The following is a 16712-nucleotide window of genomic DNA, read 5'->3' on the forward strand; positions in this document are numbered from 1 at the left end:
CCAGTGGACGCATTGGGAGTATTCCTTGTTGTTTCTGGGTAGGGTGGGAGTCGTGGCTCTGCACTAGGCCTCCATGACACTATGGCGGGGGTGGCCTAGTCATTGCTGGCTGGGTGGTGGTGAAGGTCCTGACTTTCTGGTAGCTATTACGTAATACCACTCTGGAGGGGAGGAGCCCTTCAGTACTGCCAGGGGTTGGGGGAGTCCAGGCTCCTCGTGTGGTCTCCACTGATACCACAGAAGCGGGGGATCCTTCCTGCCCACTTGGATGAAAATCTCAGCTTCCTATTTGGCCTCCTCTGGTAGCATCCCAGTGAGCCGTTTGGAGGAGAGTCCAGGCTCCCTACTCCATACCTTGCTGGTGTGGGTGGGGCCATGGTTTTTTCTGTGGTGTTGCCTGGAGTGGTGATTATTTTATGTAAATTTCCTGTCTTGCTAGGCTGCTCTTTTCTGGCCCTTTAGTCAGAGAGAGCAGATTTTTGTTGAGGTGTTTCTTGTCTGCATCTGCTGGCATTACTGGGTTTCCAGTTTCCTCACCCCCAAGTCTAGAAAATGAGGCCGAAAGCAAGCCTAGGCGATCACCACCATTTTGGGGCTGTGGCTCCGTCCCGAGGGCCCTGCTGGTGGCTCTCTTCTCTCACCTTCGGTCTTCCTGTTTTATGTATAACGTCCAGGGATCTTGGTTGCACTTAGTGGGAGGAACAGGGGTAAGTGTCTGTTCCATCTTCCAGTTTTAAAGTCGATGATGAACTCAATGCAGGCCCACGGTTAGCCACAGCCTGTCATGGTACCACCTGCTCCAGCTGCCAAACATGTGTATCATGGAGACGGGAGAGATGTGCCGTGTGGCAGTGTTCAATAATGTTTTCCCTAAATGTTAACTCATTACTGGTTCACATAAAATAGTTACTGCTTTTCACACTTGGTTTTCACAGTATCCATCCTTTCAGGTAGACTTTGGGACTCATGGATGGACCTGAAGCTGCTCTGACATGATTACTTTTTCCAGCACCTCCTGGCTGAGAAACAGATGATCCGACTGTGTGCTTGGCCAGAAGAGGCTTCCGTCACGACCTGACGATGGCAAACCTTCCTCTGGGCCAGCTCCAGGGTCCCCAGGCACCGAGGAGGCTGCGATCTGGGGTGGGGGCTGGGGGGCTCTGAAGGCTGCTGAGACGGGGCAGTAACAGAGAAGACCCGTATTGAGCCTCGAAGGACGAGCTCTGGGGCCTGGTCCCCAGTGAGCCAGGGGAACGGCCGCCTGTCCGGGCTCCAAGGTCTCAGGCTCCCAGGGCTGCTGGTGGCCACGTGGCAGGCAAGTCACCTGGAGCTTGATGCCAATTCACAGGAAGGTGGCCCTGAGGGCGCCAGCTAGGAGGGCGGCCACCCCACCGGGGGCTCTGGGATGGAGCCTCCCCTGGACTGCCTGAGGCCGGGCCCATGAGGAGGGACCCCATAGCCCCTCTGCCCCAGCTCCCTGTGATACCCGTGCTGGGGAAGCAGCCCTGGAAGCATCGCTTGGCCGGGAGCACCTGCCTGGGCTGCCAGACTCGGGCCCAGCTGCTCCACTGCCTCTGTGGACCTCGGCGCCCCTCCCATCCCCGCCCTCCGGCTCCTTGGCTGGGGTCTCCAGGCAGCTGTGAGCAACTCCAGAGGGTGCAGCTGTCCCAGCTCCCGAGTGTTCTTGGAGGGAAAATCCAGAGCTGTGTTTTCCGTCAGAATCGGCGGCTGATGGCGCAGGGGAGGGGTGGGCAGTCCAGACTCTGCTCTGTTCCTGCTACCTCCAGGGGGCTGCTCAATCCCAACCATGTGGGGCAGGGGATACAAACGCTTGTCAGAGTGGCCGCCCCAGGTCTGGTCACGTGGACGTCTCCAATCCTCCATGCTCTGCCCCACCCTGGGCCCCACCCCACACTGTCCTCAGATCCCCTCCCGTACCCCAGCGGGGCCCCATCCCTGCCTCCTGCTCCTCTTCTGAAGGCCCCAGCTCTCCCCAAAACCTTGTCCTCTGGTCACAATGCTCAGGGTCCTTAGTGTCTCCCTGTGCACCCCAGCTCCCCTGCGTGGAGTCTGGAAAGTCATCCCTGGTATGGAGAGGAGGGTGACTTCCCCCATGGCTACCACCTCTGGCTCCTGAGAATCTGACCCTGCGGGGCTCCCTCCTTGGAATGTCACCACGTCACTGGCCGGAGTGGGCGAGGCTGCAGGGCCCACAGGGCTCTCACTGCAGTCCCCTGCCCAGTTCACCATGGACCCCTGGGGCTCCTGGAGTGAGGGCCCTGCCTGTCCTTCTTGCCTCTCCAGGCCAGGAGCAGAGGTGGCACCTAGAGGACACCTCAACAAAGCTGTGAGCCGGGGTCACCCTGCCCAGAGCAGCTGTCCTGGGCTCCTCTCACCACGGCTGGTTTGGTTTGAGGTGGGCTATGAGGCAGGGGTGGGACCAGCCTTGATGCCAAGGCTGATGTGGGGCGGGGGGGGGGGGCCCTTTTTGCTCCCAGCAGGCCCCACCTCCTGCCTCTGCGGGAGGGAAGGGGCGCTTCCCGTGAGCAGGTGGGGGTGCAGGTACAGGTGGTGGGATCCCAGCAGACACCTGGATTTGGGGGAGACCCCTGAGCAGCGGCAGGGAGGGCATCCTACCTGGGCGGGGGCCTGCCCGCGAAGGGGTTGTGTGCCAGCAGGGACAAGGCCTCGGCGTCGCTGGCCAGGAGCTTGCCAGCCAGGTGGATGATCCAGTCGTTGTGCTCGTAGGTCTGGGAGGAGAGGTCGGGCTGGAGACGGCTGTGCCACTCGCTGTCCAGGCACAGCCCCTCCGGACGCTCGGCTGTGCCCTCCACTCCCTCCTGAGGCTTTCCTGGAGGTGGGTTCCCTGGGCAGCCGCACTCCAGCTCTTTGGCTGGGGTCCCCTTAAGGGGCTGCCTGCTTCGTGTAGCCCTGACCACTCATTCCCATGTCGGCCGCTGGCTTCGCTCCCCTGGCTGGGTGCCTTGGAGCCTGTCCACCCCAGCACCCTCTGTCTGGGCCTTGCCTCCCTGAGGCTCAGTTTTCTGGTGGCTGAGACGGGACCGGGAGGACAGAAACAGCAGCTCTGTCCATGGGTGCCTCTGCTACCCCCAGCCCTGGGGATTCCTTCTTTCCTGTTCGCTGAGACAGGGTCTGGCTCCGTCCCCCAGACTGGAAGGCAACGCTGCCATCATTTGAGGCTGCAGCGGTTGGGCTCAATCGATCCTTCCTCCTCCTGCGTAGCTGAAACCACAGGCGCCACCCTCAGCTGCTGGCTAACTTTTGTATTGTTCGTAGATACAGGGTCTCGCTATGGCACCCGGGCTGGGATTCCTGGCATGAGACACTACCTGGCAGACCCGGGGGGACGGTGGGGCTGGGCTCCCACATGAGGCCCCTCCTAAGGCTGGGCCTGGATGTCGTGTGGGCTCAGTTCTCAGCTCAGGCAGGATCCCATCTCTCCCAGCCTCCCTCCCCACCAGCCCCTTCAGTGGGCGTTCTAGAAACCTGCCATCTATGGGCAGAAGAGGGTGGGGTACAGGCAGGTCCATGCGCCCGCCAGGGACCGTCCCCCACCTGGAAGGCCGCGAACCACATCAGCCAGTCCAGGCGGTAGTGGTACGGGGAGATGAGGCAGGGCCGTCTGCTGGGGTCACCTGGCTTGCACTTGAACTCGTAGTCCTCCCACATGGCATCGGGGGCGCTGGCGTTGGAGCTGGCTGTGCCCTGCAGGATCACCTCCGCCCGCTCCTTGGTGATGCTGCCGGGAGACCGAGGCAGGCCAGGCCCACGTCACACACCGGCTGGGCCGAGTGGGGTGCATGGGTGGGGGGGGTTCCCCGACTGTCCATCCTGGCCCAGGGGGAGGGCTACAGCCTCCACCTGCCTCCTGGTCAGGGGCTACTGAGAGGCTGGGTGGGGCTGAGGAGAACTTTTGGGAACTGTGGCCCCAGGGTCTCATTCGAGAACACCTTCTCTGCCCGTGAAGACCCAGCTGCAGCCGCCATGTGCCCCATGCCCCTCGGCAGCTCAGGGTGGACATGAGGGGGACAGAGGCCAAGGGGCTGGCCCCAGGACAGGGAGGGTGCCTGTGTTCAGGTGGCACTACCTGGCATTCCCACGCAGGGGGTTGGGGCCTGGTGGCCTCTCCCTTACGCCCCCAGTAGGCATTCCAGGGCCGCAGCCCACCTGCCTGGTGACCTCGGGCCCTGCCCCTTTGCCTCATGGGACCAGGACGAGGAGGCCTGCGTGTCCAGGCCCGGTAGTGGGGACAGCACGGCCTGTGCCTGGGTCAGGCTGGGGTGGGGCAGGGGACACTTGGGGTCATGGGGGCCTGCACTGTAACCCCACCTGAATGTGGCTGGTCAGGGCTGAGTCTCCCCATATACCCAGCTCCGGGGGACGGGGACCCCAGGCTCATACCTTCCGAAGGCCCCGTAAGTGTTGACGATGTGAAGAGAGTTGAAGTGGGTGTTCATGACCTGCCTGGAGCTCAGCAAGTTGAGGACCACGGGCACGCTGAGCCAGGCCAGCAGGACGCCCAGCGAGACGTTGGCTGCACGCCGCACCACGGAGCCTGGCAGGGGAGTGACATCTTCCAGGTGGGGCTCCCAGCTGCCCCGTGGCCTGTCCCTGGGGAGACCCCAGCTGCTGCTCCCTAAGGGTCAGCTGTCCTGGGTCCCGGGGACGGAGCAGCACCCGAACTCACACACCTTGTTCCTGGCACGCTACACTGCGGACGGCGCTGACTCTCCTCCTACCCTGGCGTCCCCAACCCACACGGGCAGGCTGTGGGGCTGGCACCACCCGACTTTCTCCTGCCCTTGGGCAGGGGCCCCCAGCTGAGCCACCTACCGAATCTGGGCTCGGGCCGGGCCCCTCGGATGTCCCTCTGCATCTGCAGAACTCGGTCCTTCAGGCTGCCTGGCCCAGAGGGGAACAAGAATCCCAGGGTGGCGTCATCAAAGCAGGCCAGGCTGGGCACCATAGTCAGCCAGTTCAGGAAGCTGAGGTTCCCGCTGACGATGAGGACGGCCTGTGGAGACGCCGCAGCTGAGTCTCGTGCAGGGGCTCGTGTGGGGCCCCTGGGCAGCTGGCGCCTCTCTTCCTGGAGCAGGGAGGGGGGAGGGAACCTGCACCCAGCTCTGCCCTTGCTGTCCCTCGGGCCCAGCATCACAACTGAAACCCAGCTGTGCCTTCATGGAGGGGACAGCAGATGCCTCAGAGGTGCCTTCCGGCAGGTGCTTCCAGAACATTCCTCCCATGACTGCACATTTCTGTGCAGGTTCTGTCCCTTGCTTTAGTGATCCGCAAGGCGGGGGCTGGACCAGACCACCAGACCCTGTGCCCTCCTGGAACTCCTCACTTTCAGAGGGCACCTGCCGGGGTCATGCCCGGGGAAGGCTGGTGAGTCCAAACAGAGGAGGCTGTGCTTGGAGAGTGGGTACTGGGGACGCCCCTCAGCCGATGGGTGACACAGACAACAGGGGCCGTGGGGGGGCCACCAGTAACGCCCCCACTCCAAAATACGAAATGCAAGGAAGTGAGACACAGGCACAGGACCCTGTGCCACAGAGATGAACAGCAGGAGAGGGGAGGGGCTGCATGCAGGGCTGGCTGAGCAGCACGGCTGGGAGAGCTCCAAGGAAAGACTCAGCAGCAGCAGTGAGTAAACCTGCGGCAGGAGGGACTCAGAGGGACCCGCTTCTGGACATCCCCGCAGGCCAGCGATCGTTAGGTGACGAAACTGGAGATGGAGCCGCTGTCCCTGCAGCTCCGTCGGGTGATATCACAGGTGTGCTGCCAGACCTCACCCCTGCCGTTGCCGTGGAGGCATCAGGGAGACAGGGGCAGCTTGCGTGGCCGGTCGCCCTGCATGGGTGATGGTCTGCAGCTGAGCCGGTGGACCCTGGGCCGGCAGGACCTGGGTGTGGCTTCCTCAGACAGCTCCGTCAGCCAGATTTGATGCATCAAAGCCCAGCCTTTATCCCCGTAACTCAGGAGGAAGGTTGAGGGCAGGGACATCGACGTCTAATGAAGGGACTCGTGAGGGCAGCCACATCAGTGTTATGGGCGATGATGGTGTTTTATGAACTGTGCACTCATGGCTCTCCCTGGGTGAATTGGGAAAAATAGCTTTTCTGGTTCTGAGCCCCAAAACAGTTATTTCTTATTCTCCACTGTCTACAAGGTTACTAAACCCCTGTGCCAAAAACAGCCCCGCCTCGCCCTGGCTGGGGTTAGCCACCTCTGCCACCAGCTCCCCTCCGCTGGTCCAGACCCCCATGCCCTCCGTCCTGAGTGTGACCAGGGCTGGTCTGGGGTGGGGTGGCTGGGAGCCCCTGAGCTCCCGTGACAGGGAGGGTGCAGGGCTAGGCACTGAGGTCTGACCTTTGGGCCCACTCTTGGGGATGCTCTGGAGGAGATGCCACAGGTGACACTGGAATGTCCTGGTGGGAAAAGCTCGGGTCTTTCTGGCCCTTCGCTGTGGTCAGCCTGACTGGCAGATGGGACCAAAGCGACCTGGGGCACAGCCTGAGCCAGTGCCCGTTCGGATGCTCGGCCATGCCAGAACCATCAGGAGCTTTGAGGAACACCCAGCCCTGAGCACCTGCCTGCCTGGGTCAGGGTGGGCCCTGCCTGAGTGTATTTCCAAAGCCCCCTTGGGTCATCCTGCTGTGGGCTCAGTGGGGAACTCTAGCCTCAGGGAACTAGGGCTCCAGAGAGCACAGATCTGGGCATCAGATCCTGTTTCTAAGAAAGCTTCGGGGCTCGGGGCCCTGCTCCATGCAGAGGCATCCCCAGCTGCGCCCCGTTCAGCTGCTCTGGTGCATCTCTCGCCCTCCATCTGGTCGGCTGTTTTGTTATGAAAACGCAGTTCCGCGTAGAGTGCACGGCCTGAGCGCTCCTGGGGGACCTCGCCTTCCTTGTTTTTCTTCTAGCATCACTGAGCCATCTCCTCAGAGGGAAATCAGTCTTCTCACTGCCCATCTGTGCTCGCCCCCGCCGGCGGAGTCCTCACAAGGCTGTGCGGCCCACAGATGACCCGGCCGGTGGCTGGGAGCGGAGGCGAGGCCCGAGGGGGTCCCCAAGGCCGGCACAGGAAGAGGAGCTTGAGGTGATGGAATCCTGGGCCCAAGAGACGGAGCAGCAGGTGTTCCGAGGCCAACGGCGCATGGCCCCAAGAAGGAAGAGTGGCATCTTTGGATGCAGCCTCCTGCCTGTCAGCTGCCACGGAGAACAGGTGGCTTGTGGGGACCCTCTGCCGAGGACACGCCCGCGCTCACAGGGACCCTCCGCCGAGGACATGCCTGTTCGCGGGGACCCTCCGCCGAGGACACCCCTGCGCTCGCGGGGACCCTCTGCTGAGGAAATGCATTGTGTTCCAGGTGGGCACTCTGGTGGGCGTGAACCCAGGTCTCTCTTCAGTGTCACAGAGAGGAGATGAGGGCAGAAGAACATGGTGGGAGGTAGAGAATCTGCTGAGGTCTAACACCAGTCCATCAGCATCCACGACAGCAGTGACCCAGAGCCCTATGCCTGACCCACGGAAACGCATGCAGCCTTGCAAAGGAATCGGAGTTCAGCACGTGCCCCGAAAGGGACAGACCCAGGGTCATGGTGCTCAGGGAGGGAGGCTGGACGGAGGCCGCACATTGTAGGATGCCAGTTGCATGGAACGTCCGAGTCGGGAATCCAGAGATGAAGCTCCCAGTGGCTGGTGGAGGCCCGGCGGCGGGTGTGAGGGTCTCCTTTGCCGGGTGTGGGGGGGGTATGGGAAGTTCTGGAACCAGGCGGAGGCGGCGGTTGCATCACGCTGTGAACGTGCTGGAGGCCCCCGAGTTCACTTCAAAAGCATGAACTTACTTTGCGTTATCTGTGTTGTTTCATCACAACCGAAACACAGCTAAGGGCCGGTGAGCCCAGCTCTGGGACAGAGCCTCAGGACAGCCGGCCTGTGTGTGCGGGGCTGGCAGGGCCTCCGGGCCTCTGTCTTGAGCGGGCGTGGGGTGCAGCCACCACAGGGCAAGGAGCCCTTTGGGCAGGGCGGGGTGGGGTGGGGCCGGACAGCCCGCTGTGGGCAGGCGCCTCAGAGGTTCCAGACCTGAGCTCACCCCCTGCCCCTCCCGCCCTGGCAGTCCGGGGCTGCGTCTCCCTGTCACCAGTGCCCTAGTGGAGGCTGATGGCTCCCGTGGGGTGCTGGCTGGGCGGCCGGGCTCTGCGGTCACTGCTCTTGTGCACCTCTCCAGGCAGGCAGCGGCCCCAGGGCCCCGCGGAACCCTCCGGAACAGCTGTGTAAACTGCGTGGGAGGAGGGAGGCTGCTCATGCCGCAACTCCCCAACGGAAGGATCACGGGAACCAGGACAGGCTCCGGGGGACGGTGCTCAGATGGGAACACACGGAACCAGGACGGGATCCGGGGAGGCGGCGCTCAGATGGGAACACACGGAACCAGGACAGGCTCCAGGCAGGCGGCGCTCAGAAGTCTCAGGGCACTCGGCTGTCACAGCGCGGCACAGGGGAGTACGCAGCCCCAGCCAGGACACTACAATGTTAGAGGGCGCGGGTCACTCTCAGCCCCACACCATATCATCCCCCAGACACCCTCTGCCCTGTACGCCTGTGGGGGCAAAAGCCCTAGTTCAAGACCCCACACTGCCTGTGAGGGGGCAGGATACATCGCAGCCGGGACTGCCGGCCGACCATCTTGTCTTCCAAGGGGGGACGCCAGGCCACGCCGCAGAGCACAGCCACGACCCTGGTGCTTCCACCTCGTCCTGGACACAGTGTGGGGCTGGAGAGGATGACGCAGCCTGACCTCCGAGGCCTGGAAGGGAGGCGCTGCCTGTGCCGGGTCTTTGAGGGTGGTGCTCACAGTCCCAGGTGCAGTGAGGCCCAGCTCTGTCCCCTCCCCTTTCAGCATCCCCACTGTCCACCGCCACTCACCCCACCAGGCAGCGGACTCCAAAACGGGGCCAGCACCGGCACTAAGGGAACCCGCAGCCTGGCCGTCATGCTTGGGAGGGTCCCTGTCTGCCTGCACCAGGGCCCGTTGGTCCAATTCTCATCTAACCCCCTGGCCAGGTTCCTGCGTTCTGAATAAACAAGGACGTTTTTGAGGCCTCTGGTTCAAGGGTCACCTCCCCATTCCATGTCACGGTAGCTCAGCCCTCAAGTGACTCCCACTTTCTCCATTTACTTAAGTAACTCAGCACCTTGCTTTTCATGAGAGCTTCTCCCAGGCAGCATCAGCTTATCGGGAGAGGGGCAGTGGTGGAACTGGCCAGCACAGCCTGAGGGAGGGACGCTACAGGGTACACGGGCCATGGAAGCGGGAGGTGGGATCCTGAGCACTCCCCACTGCCAGGCAGCCACGGAGCCAAGCAGACCAACACCCCTGCCTGGGCTGTGTGTCCAGGGGTGCCCTTGGACCGGCCTCGGAACCAGACCCGAGCCTGGCGTGGGCATCTCTGTGTTCTCCACCGGCAGGGGCAGGCGGGACCCTGGGGCAGCACAGCCCACGCAGGAGGTGTGTGGGGTCGGGGTGACTCCCGGGAGTCTCCAGCCCGGCCCTCCTCCAGCAGCTGGGACCCCAGGACCGCATGGCTGAAGACGGCTCAGGAGTCACCCGTGTGTGTGGCCCCACCCAGGTCAGGAATCCTGGAACACACCCCTCCATTCAGGCTGGACACCCCTCCCTGGGTGGCAGTGGGACCCGGGGCTGGCACAGCCGGCCCTGGCCCCACGCCTGTGCTCAGCACAACCCTCCTTGTGCGCCCTGTGGGAAGCACATGTGCCCGGGGCTCCGTCTGTTGCCCTTCAGAGGCTGAGTGGAGAAACAAACCGGGGCACGTGCGGACCACGGGCGTCTCGGAACCGAAGAGAAACAAGCAGTGGAGCCTGCAGGAGGTGCAGGAGCCCACGCGCGGCCGCGGAGGGCAGGAAGCCAGTCCGCAAAGGCTGCACAATGCTTCCCACTCTAGGATGTCCGGAAGAGGCAGTACCGTGGAGACGGAGGGTCGGCGGGGCACAGAGAACTTCCAGGGCCACAAGCGACTCTGCATGAAGCTGTGATGGGGACACGTGTCGTCGTCCGTTTGTCGGAGCTCACAGAATGAGCAACACTGCGAATGGCTCTCCTGTCAGCCGGGACTTTAGTTGGCAACAGTTTATCAGTCCTGCCTATCAACTATACAAGGTCCTGGCCGATGCAAGACGCTGAGCGCAGGGAAACTGGGAGGGGGGGATAAGGGAACCTTTGTAGTCTCTGCACAGTTTTTCCGAAAATCTAAAAGTGTTCTAAAATAAGTCAATTAATAAAACGAAACAGAGCTGAAACACTGGAGCAAAGGACGCAAGTGGCTTGGGGCGGACAGAGGCAGGCTGGGTGGGCTGAGGACCTTGGACAGAGGCGGGCTGGGCGGGCTGAGGACCTCGGGGGGTCATGGTGGCAAAGATGCTGCCCAAACTGAGACCTTCAGTAAGTTAACATGGCTGATTGATTGATAACCACTGAGGAAACAGAGGATCTTCCTTATCCATTAGAGGAGGGAAAATAACAGAAAAAAACGAGAGAGAAAGATACAAAGAACAAAGAGAAAAACACAAAGATGTGGAAATACGTCCAAATATGTCAGTTGAGATATACGGGCCTGTTACTTAAAAGAGAAAGACGGCCACGCTGACCCTAAGCATGACCTTGCTCCCCGCTGTCTCAGGAGATGCGTGTCGGTGAGGACACAGGCCTTGAGGCCGGGCGCACACCTGCAGTCACGGCACTTTAGGAGGTCAGGCAGGAGGAGTGCTCGAGCCCTGGAGTTCAAAACCAGACTGGGCAACATAGCGAGACCCCCAGCTCTACAAAAAATGAAAAATAGCTCGGCGTGGTGGCACCTGTAGTCCCGGCTACTTGAGAGGCTATAAAACTAAGATAATACTATGACTTTTTTTGCCAAAAGATTTGAAAACAGATGAACAAATTCCCAGGGAAATGTTCACCACAAAAACTGCCTCAAGTCAAGAAGGAATGGAAACTCTGCGTGTCCTACGGCCCGCAAGGGTGATCAGTCACAGAGACCCTGGCGGCGCAGGTGGCCTCATGCAGGAGCACTGCCAGGTGTGAGGGACGGTCACCTCTGCTTTCCAGACTCCCGCAGAGGAAGAGGCTCAGATGTTCTGGGAATGTGAACTTGCTTCAGCATCCACAGCATTAATGTAACTCGCCACGTTACAGACGAAACAACAAGTCATCTCGTGACTGATGGAGAAACGCCACAACTCAACATCCATTCATGGCTAAAAACCCACAAAGGAGAAGTGAATAAAAGCAGCCACGAAAACAACCCACAGCCGGCATCGTGAGAGGCAGTGCGCGGGGTGGCGGGCCCTCCCTGCTGTGGGACCCCAGACCCAGGACAGCACTCGAGCCCGCCCAGCAGGGGAGAAAGGGATGGACGTAGAACCGGCAGAATCCCTAGATCACCCACAGGACGCGTCTCTGAGGGACCCGCAGACAGACGGGGAAGTACCAGTGCAGAGGTTGTCTGAGAAAGGTCAAGGTCACCAGAGTCCCACACTTAGCCACCAAGAGGAGGAAGTGTGACTTAAAAGGGCACCATTTACAACATCAACAAAAAGAAGTCACCTCAGAGCTGCAGCCTACAAACGCGCGTGGGGTCTGGCTACACAGAATCCACTGAAGCTATTCCAGGAGCCCCCAAACACACATGGGGTCTGGCTACACGGAACCGACTGAAGCTATTCCAGGAGCCCCCAGACGCGCGTGGGGTCCAGCCACATGGAATCCACTGAAGCTATTCCAGGAGCCCCCAAACACGCGTGGGGTCCGGCTACATGGAACCGACTGAAGCTATTCCAGGAGCCCTGAGCAGCTGCAGAGAGAAACGTGCGGTCCTGGCTGGGGGACGATCTGTGAGCAAGTCCGTTCTTCCCACTTAGATTCACGGCGACATCGATGCCCACAGGGAAATCACCTGATGGGCACCGGTGCCAGCCTCCAAGCAGCTAACGCGGAAAAGCCCGAGGGAGTCAGGAGCTGCTCAGGGCCCCGGCGGCCAGAGTGAGGGTCCTTGCTGGGGGGAGGGGTCAAGAACAGCACAGCCACCCTGGACACGTGCAGCTTCCAGTAAGGTGAATCACAGGCCTGCTCACGATACAGTAGCGCCCTTGAAAATACATCCACAGGATGACGAGATTGCACCTCTGCACGGCAGGCTGTGGTGAAAACCAGAAACTACCACACGTGCACAGACGGGACGGGTGAACCGACCGCAGGCACGCACCGTGAAACAGGACCCGGCCAACAACCATGGGCGCCCCCACGTGCACCAACGTGGCGTGGCACCCGTGCCTGCTGACGGAGCTTTGCCCCTCTAGGCGGCGGTGCTCTGGCAGGGGTGGGCAGGGCAGGGGAAGGGCGGGGGCAGGGGCGGGCAGGGCAGGGGAAGGGGCGTGGGACACCCAGGTACATCTGTTTTCCAGAGCACGTGGAACGCCACCTGGACCTGTGCATTTTCCTGGCTGTATGTTACACCTCCATTGAAACAATCGAGAGAGAGAACCACCTTTAAAATCCCCACCACATTTTCCTTGGGAATTGACAGTCGGAATGTAGCGTTTACAGGGAAAAGCAAAGGCTCGGGACTGGCCCAGCCCCCCTGGAGGCAGCGTGGGGGTGCTCTGTCCTTCGAGGCGCCCTCAATGCAGGGGGCTTGTGGGGCAGGGATGGCGGTGACTGTGGGCAGGACGGGGCGTTAGGGGGTACCCGGGGTTCCGGGGGCTGGGGGAGGCAGCCCCTCACCCACATGGAGGCAAATGACCCTGGCCTCTCTCAGACCCTGGTTCCCCGTGGACTGACATGAACACTTGAAAGGAAACCTCTAGAATGGAAGAATCTTAGGAGTGGATCCCAGGAATGTGGGGGTGTCCACACAGGGCCTTGGCGTGCTGACCCCGTCCCACTGCCGAGCCCAGGACATGGCCGGGCCTCTCGCAGCTGCAGGAAACGCTCTTGGGAGGAGCCAGTCCTTGGAGGAAGCCTGGGAAGGAGACCCTCAGCCTGCAGCCCGGGACAGGGCTGCAGTGGGGCCCGTGACACAAACGAAGGCTGGGGAGGACAGGCTGTCCCCAAGAAAGGGGGCCTGTAATGCCCCAGGGTCCTCCCAGAGAGCGGGGCAGCCAGAAATAGGGCGACGGGCCAGCGTCTCTGTGGACACGGGGCAGGGCGGGCGGCGCGGGCTCACCTGGAACAGGATCTGCAGCACCCCGTGGATGATGCACGCCCGCCGGCCGAGGAAGAGGAAGAAGGGCACCAGGAGCTCGATGAAGTGGTTGCTGAGCGTCTCGAAGCGATGGAACCACCAGGGTGAGTGGTGCAGGTAGTACGCCACAGGATTGGGCATCGGCTGGGTCTGCAGGGACAGGAGGGGCCGTGAGGTGCCTGGCCGATCTCGGGGGGCGGGGCTAGGGAGAGGCTTGTGGGTCCCTGGCCCCCTGACCCCGGCTCCTACTGCACACAGGATCCCCCCGGCCCGCCTGGCCCTGCACACGTGGAGCCCACCTGCCACGCTAAGAGGGGCCAAGAGACATTCAGGGAGCTTTTGAAGCAAAAGCAAAGTGTTCATTTTTGTCTTAAAATCTTTACCATCTAAAAGCAAAGAATACACACCCCAGCTGAAGGAGAGACGACACCTGTAAACCCCGTGCCCAACTTGAGAACACAGGCAGTCGGAGAACAGGCAGTCGGAGAACGCGCCGCCTGCTGCCCACAGGCGGCCAAGCTGCAACCCCCAAGAGCCGGGGTCCACAGGCGGCCCCTCAGGCTCAGGATGCCCTTTCCCTGGGGATGGACACGTGGGTGGGGACGTGCCGGTTGGGGACCAGCAGGAATGGGGCCCGGGTCCCGAGCCCAGCTCAAGGCTCTAAGCGCAAGACCTGGCTGTGGGGACCTGGAAGCCTCCCAGGCCAAGGCACAGAGAAGTCCCCACACCTAGGGTCCCACTCAGCAGCCCAGCCAGGAGGAAGGGTGGGAACTTGCCCTGCACCATAATTCAAAACTATCAAGGCCAGGCACGGTGGCTCATGCCTGTGATCCCAGCACTTTGGGAGGCCAAGGCAGGCAGATCACTTGAGCCCAGGAGTTTGAAGCCAGCCTGGACAACTTATCAAGACCCCATTTCTATAAAAATAAAAAATTAGCTGGGCATGGTGGTGCGTGCCTGTAGCCCCAGCTACCCAGGAGGCTGAGTCAGGAGGATCGCCTGAACCCAGGAGGTAGAGGCTGCAGTGAGCCACGACTGTGCCACGGCACTCAGCCTAGGCAACAGAACAAGACCTTGTATCAGACAGTCGATCCATCAATCAAGTCAGAGTGGTTGTGCAGACTTGTCTGGAGTGAGAACACCCCACTGGCAAATGGGGCCCAGGCCCCCACACGCTGTTTTCTGGAAGCCCCCAACAACGGGATCCAGAGTGGCACTGCCAGGGCTGTGTGAGTCGGTGAGCCCAGGGTGGTGGTGGGAAGAGTGCCCTAGATGGACGATGCTGCACGCTCTGCTTGCCTTTGTGGAGGGGCCTGCCCGCATGCTGCTCAGGGCTGAAGGCCTTGCTAGCACAGCCCGCGGGAGCCATTGGGCCTGGCACAGCCGCAGAAACCCCACTAGGGACAACAATGAACACGCCCTGCAGGGAGGGAGGCGGCCCCCAGACGCTTCAGAATCCGCACCCAGGTCCTGGGACTCCCAGGGTCCAGAGAGGCTACGTGGAAGTCGGGGCCCCCAGGTGGCAGAAAGCGCACATAGGGGCTGTGCTGGGCAGCGCTTGCTCCGGGGTGGGGGTGTGGGAAGCGCAGGAGAGGCGGCCATGTGCACACCCGAGGGGGTGACCGGGCACAGGGCCCCAGTGCACCCCAAGAGCCGTGGGCTGGGGAGGGTCCTGAGGCCTCTGCTCATTTGCTTAGAGGGCAAAGAGTTATTTTTGTTTACACTGAGGCTAGGAGAAAACATCATGACCTGAAACTTGGCTGTGAGCCGTGAGGTGGGTGTGGCAGTGTCGCATGCTGCAGGCAAGGCCAGGAGTTCCCGTGCAGCTGGGACACTCAGCCCGCGGCCAGGGGAATGGTGGGTCAGGGCATGGCGGTGCTGCTGGCCCAGACCTCAGGAAACAGCCTGCAAACTTCTCCTAAAAAGACAATTTTAAATAAGAAAAACATGAGGAAAGAGTGAAGGGGATGACACCTGTTTAGGGACTTAGAAGGCAGCAGATCTTGGGGGAGAATGAGTGTCGTCTGTTAGGGCTTGAGTGCCCCATGTGGGACCCACCCCCTAGTGCCCACAGGGAAAAGCCAGAGAAGAACCGGAATGCCTGGTCTGCCACTTCCCTTTTAGGCTGCTTGTTGTGTGTTTGGGGTTGCGGCGAGACCCATGCAGGAGGCAGCAGGCTTGGCCAGGTGTTGGGAACAAGCATCTCCAGGGCTAGGCCCACACCCGAAGTCCCAGCTCTTGGTCTGGCTTTTGGGGTGGGGGACTTTAACCTCTCCTTCCCTCTTGCATGCTGGGGCTGCTGACGTGTGTCGGCTGAGCTCTGACGGGGAGGGGAGCGGGGGCTGCTTATGCTTATCAGGTGAGGGTCTTGGGATGAAGAAGGAGGTCCCATGTGTTCCAGGAACAAGCCAATCACAAGCGTCCCCGTGGGAAGCGGCCCTTGGATGTTTGTGTCCCGAAGTGGTAATTGCCACGGGCTCTCAGAACCTCACCTGGGAAAGGGCCACAGCAGGGACACAGTGCGATGCCTTTGTGGACGTGGAACCCCCACTTCCCACCAAGGCAACTGCAGATGGAGAAAAATGACACTGAGTGATAAAGACGGTGACAAATGTAACAGACATGGGGCTGACATGACCCAATGCTGTGTTAAAAAGAGAAGAGCATCAGGCTCAGCTGTAGTGGCCACTGCCCCTCCTGAGCATGGCTCGCCTCCCCTGGAATCCCAGCCGACCTTGGGACTCAGCTTTGGCCAAGAGAATGCAGCGTGAGTGATGTTCTGAACTTTCAAGCTCAGTCCTTGAAGAGGCAGCTCCAACCCCATTAAAGGTCCCTCTACTCTGAGGCCACCAAGCTGTGAGGAAGCCAATGGTGGCCATGTGGCAAGGCCACCGGGAGATGCACTAGGTTCCAGTACAAGTGAAGCCTTCCTGGACCTCCCGGCCTAGCTATCAGCTCGTGAATGACCCCACCTGACACCACGTGCAGCAGAAGAGCCACCCAGGGGAGCCCATAACAGGACCAGGAGAAAGTTGCTACTGCTCAGGAGAAGAGCTGCCCAGCAGAGGCCATCACAGGACCAGGAGAAAGAGAAGCCAGCAAGCAGGGCCCATCGCAGGACCAGGAGAAAGAGGAGCCGGCAGCAGAGCCCATCGCAGGACCAGGAGAAAGAGGAGCTGCCCAGCGGGGCCCATCGCAGGACCAGGAGAAGGAGGAGCCGGCGGCAGAGCCTATCACAGGACCAGGAGAAAGAGAAGCCGCCCAGCGGAGCCCATCGCAGGACCAGGAGAAAGAGGAGCCACCCAGCGGAGCCCATCGCAGGACCAGGAGAAAGAGGAGCTGCTCAGCAGAGCCCATCACAGGACCAGGAGAAAGAGGAGCTGCTCAGCAGAAGAGCTGCCCGGCAGAGCCTATCACAGGACCAGGAGAAA

At 61.2% G+C, this 16712-nt stretch overlaps 1 protein-coding gene across 7 annotated transcripts in view; it reads right to left on the bottom strand.

Moving 5' to 3' along the window:
• LMF1 (lipase maturation factor 1) overlaps positions 1-16712 on the bottom strand; it is a 127980-nt gene that overhangs the window by 12673 nt on the left and 98595 nt on the right. For 6 of the 7 annotated variants that reach the window (NR_147885.2, NM_001352019.2, NM_001352017.2 and 3 more), the window contains 5 exons: positions 13264-13431; positions 4855-5035; positions 4423-4576; positions 3577-3760; positions 2638-2750 (listed from right to left, as the gene is read on the bottom strand). Coding sequence is in view for 6 of the 7 variants with exons in the window: in NM_001352019.2 (NP_001338948.1) it covers positions 2638-2750; positions 3577-3760; positions 4423-4576; positions 4855-5035; positions 13264-13431 (800 nt within the window). In the remaining variant the exon portion in view is untranslated. The remainder of the gene's footprint in view (positions 1-2637; positions 2751-3576; positions 3761-4422; positions 4577-4854; positions 5036-13263; positions 13432-16712) is intronic. The other variant, NM_001352020.1, reaches the window with a different exon arrangement.

This window comes from Homo sapiens, chromosome 16 (genome assembly GCF_000001405.40).
Source record: "Homo sapiens chromosome 16, GRCh38.p14 Primary Assembly".
Classification (NCBI taxonomy): domain Eukaryota; kingdom Metazoa; phylum Chordata; class Mammalia; order Primates; family Hominidae; genus Homo; species Homo sapiens.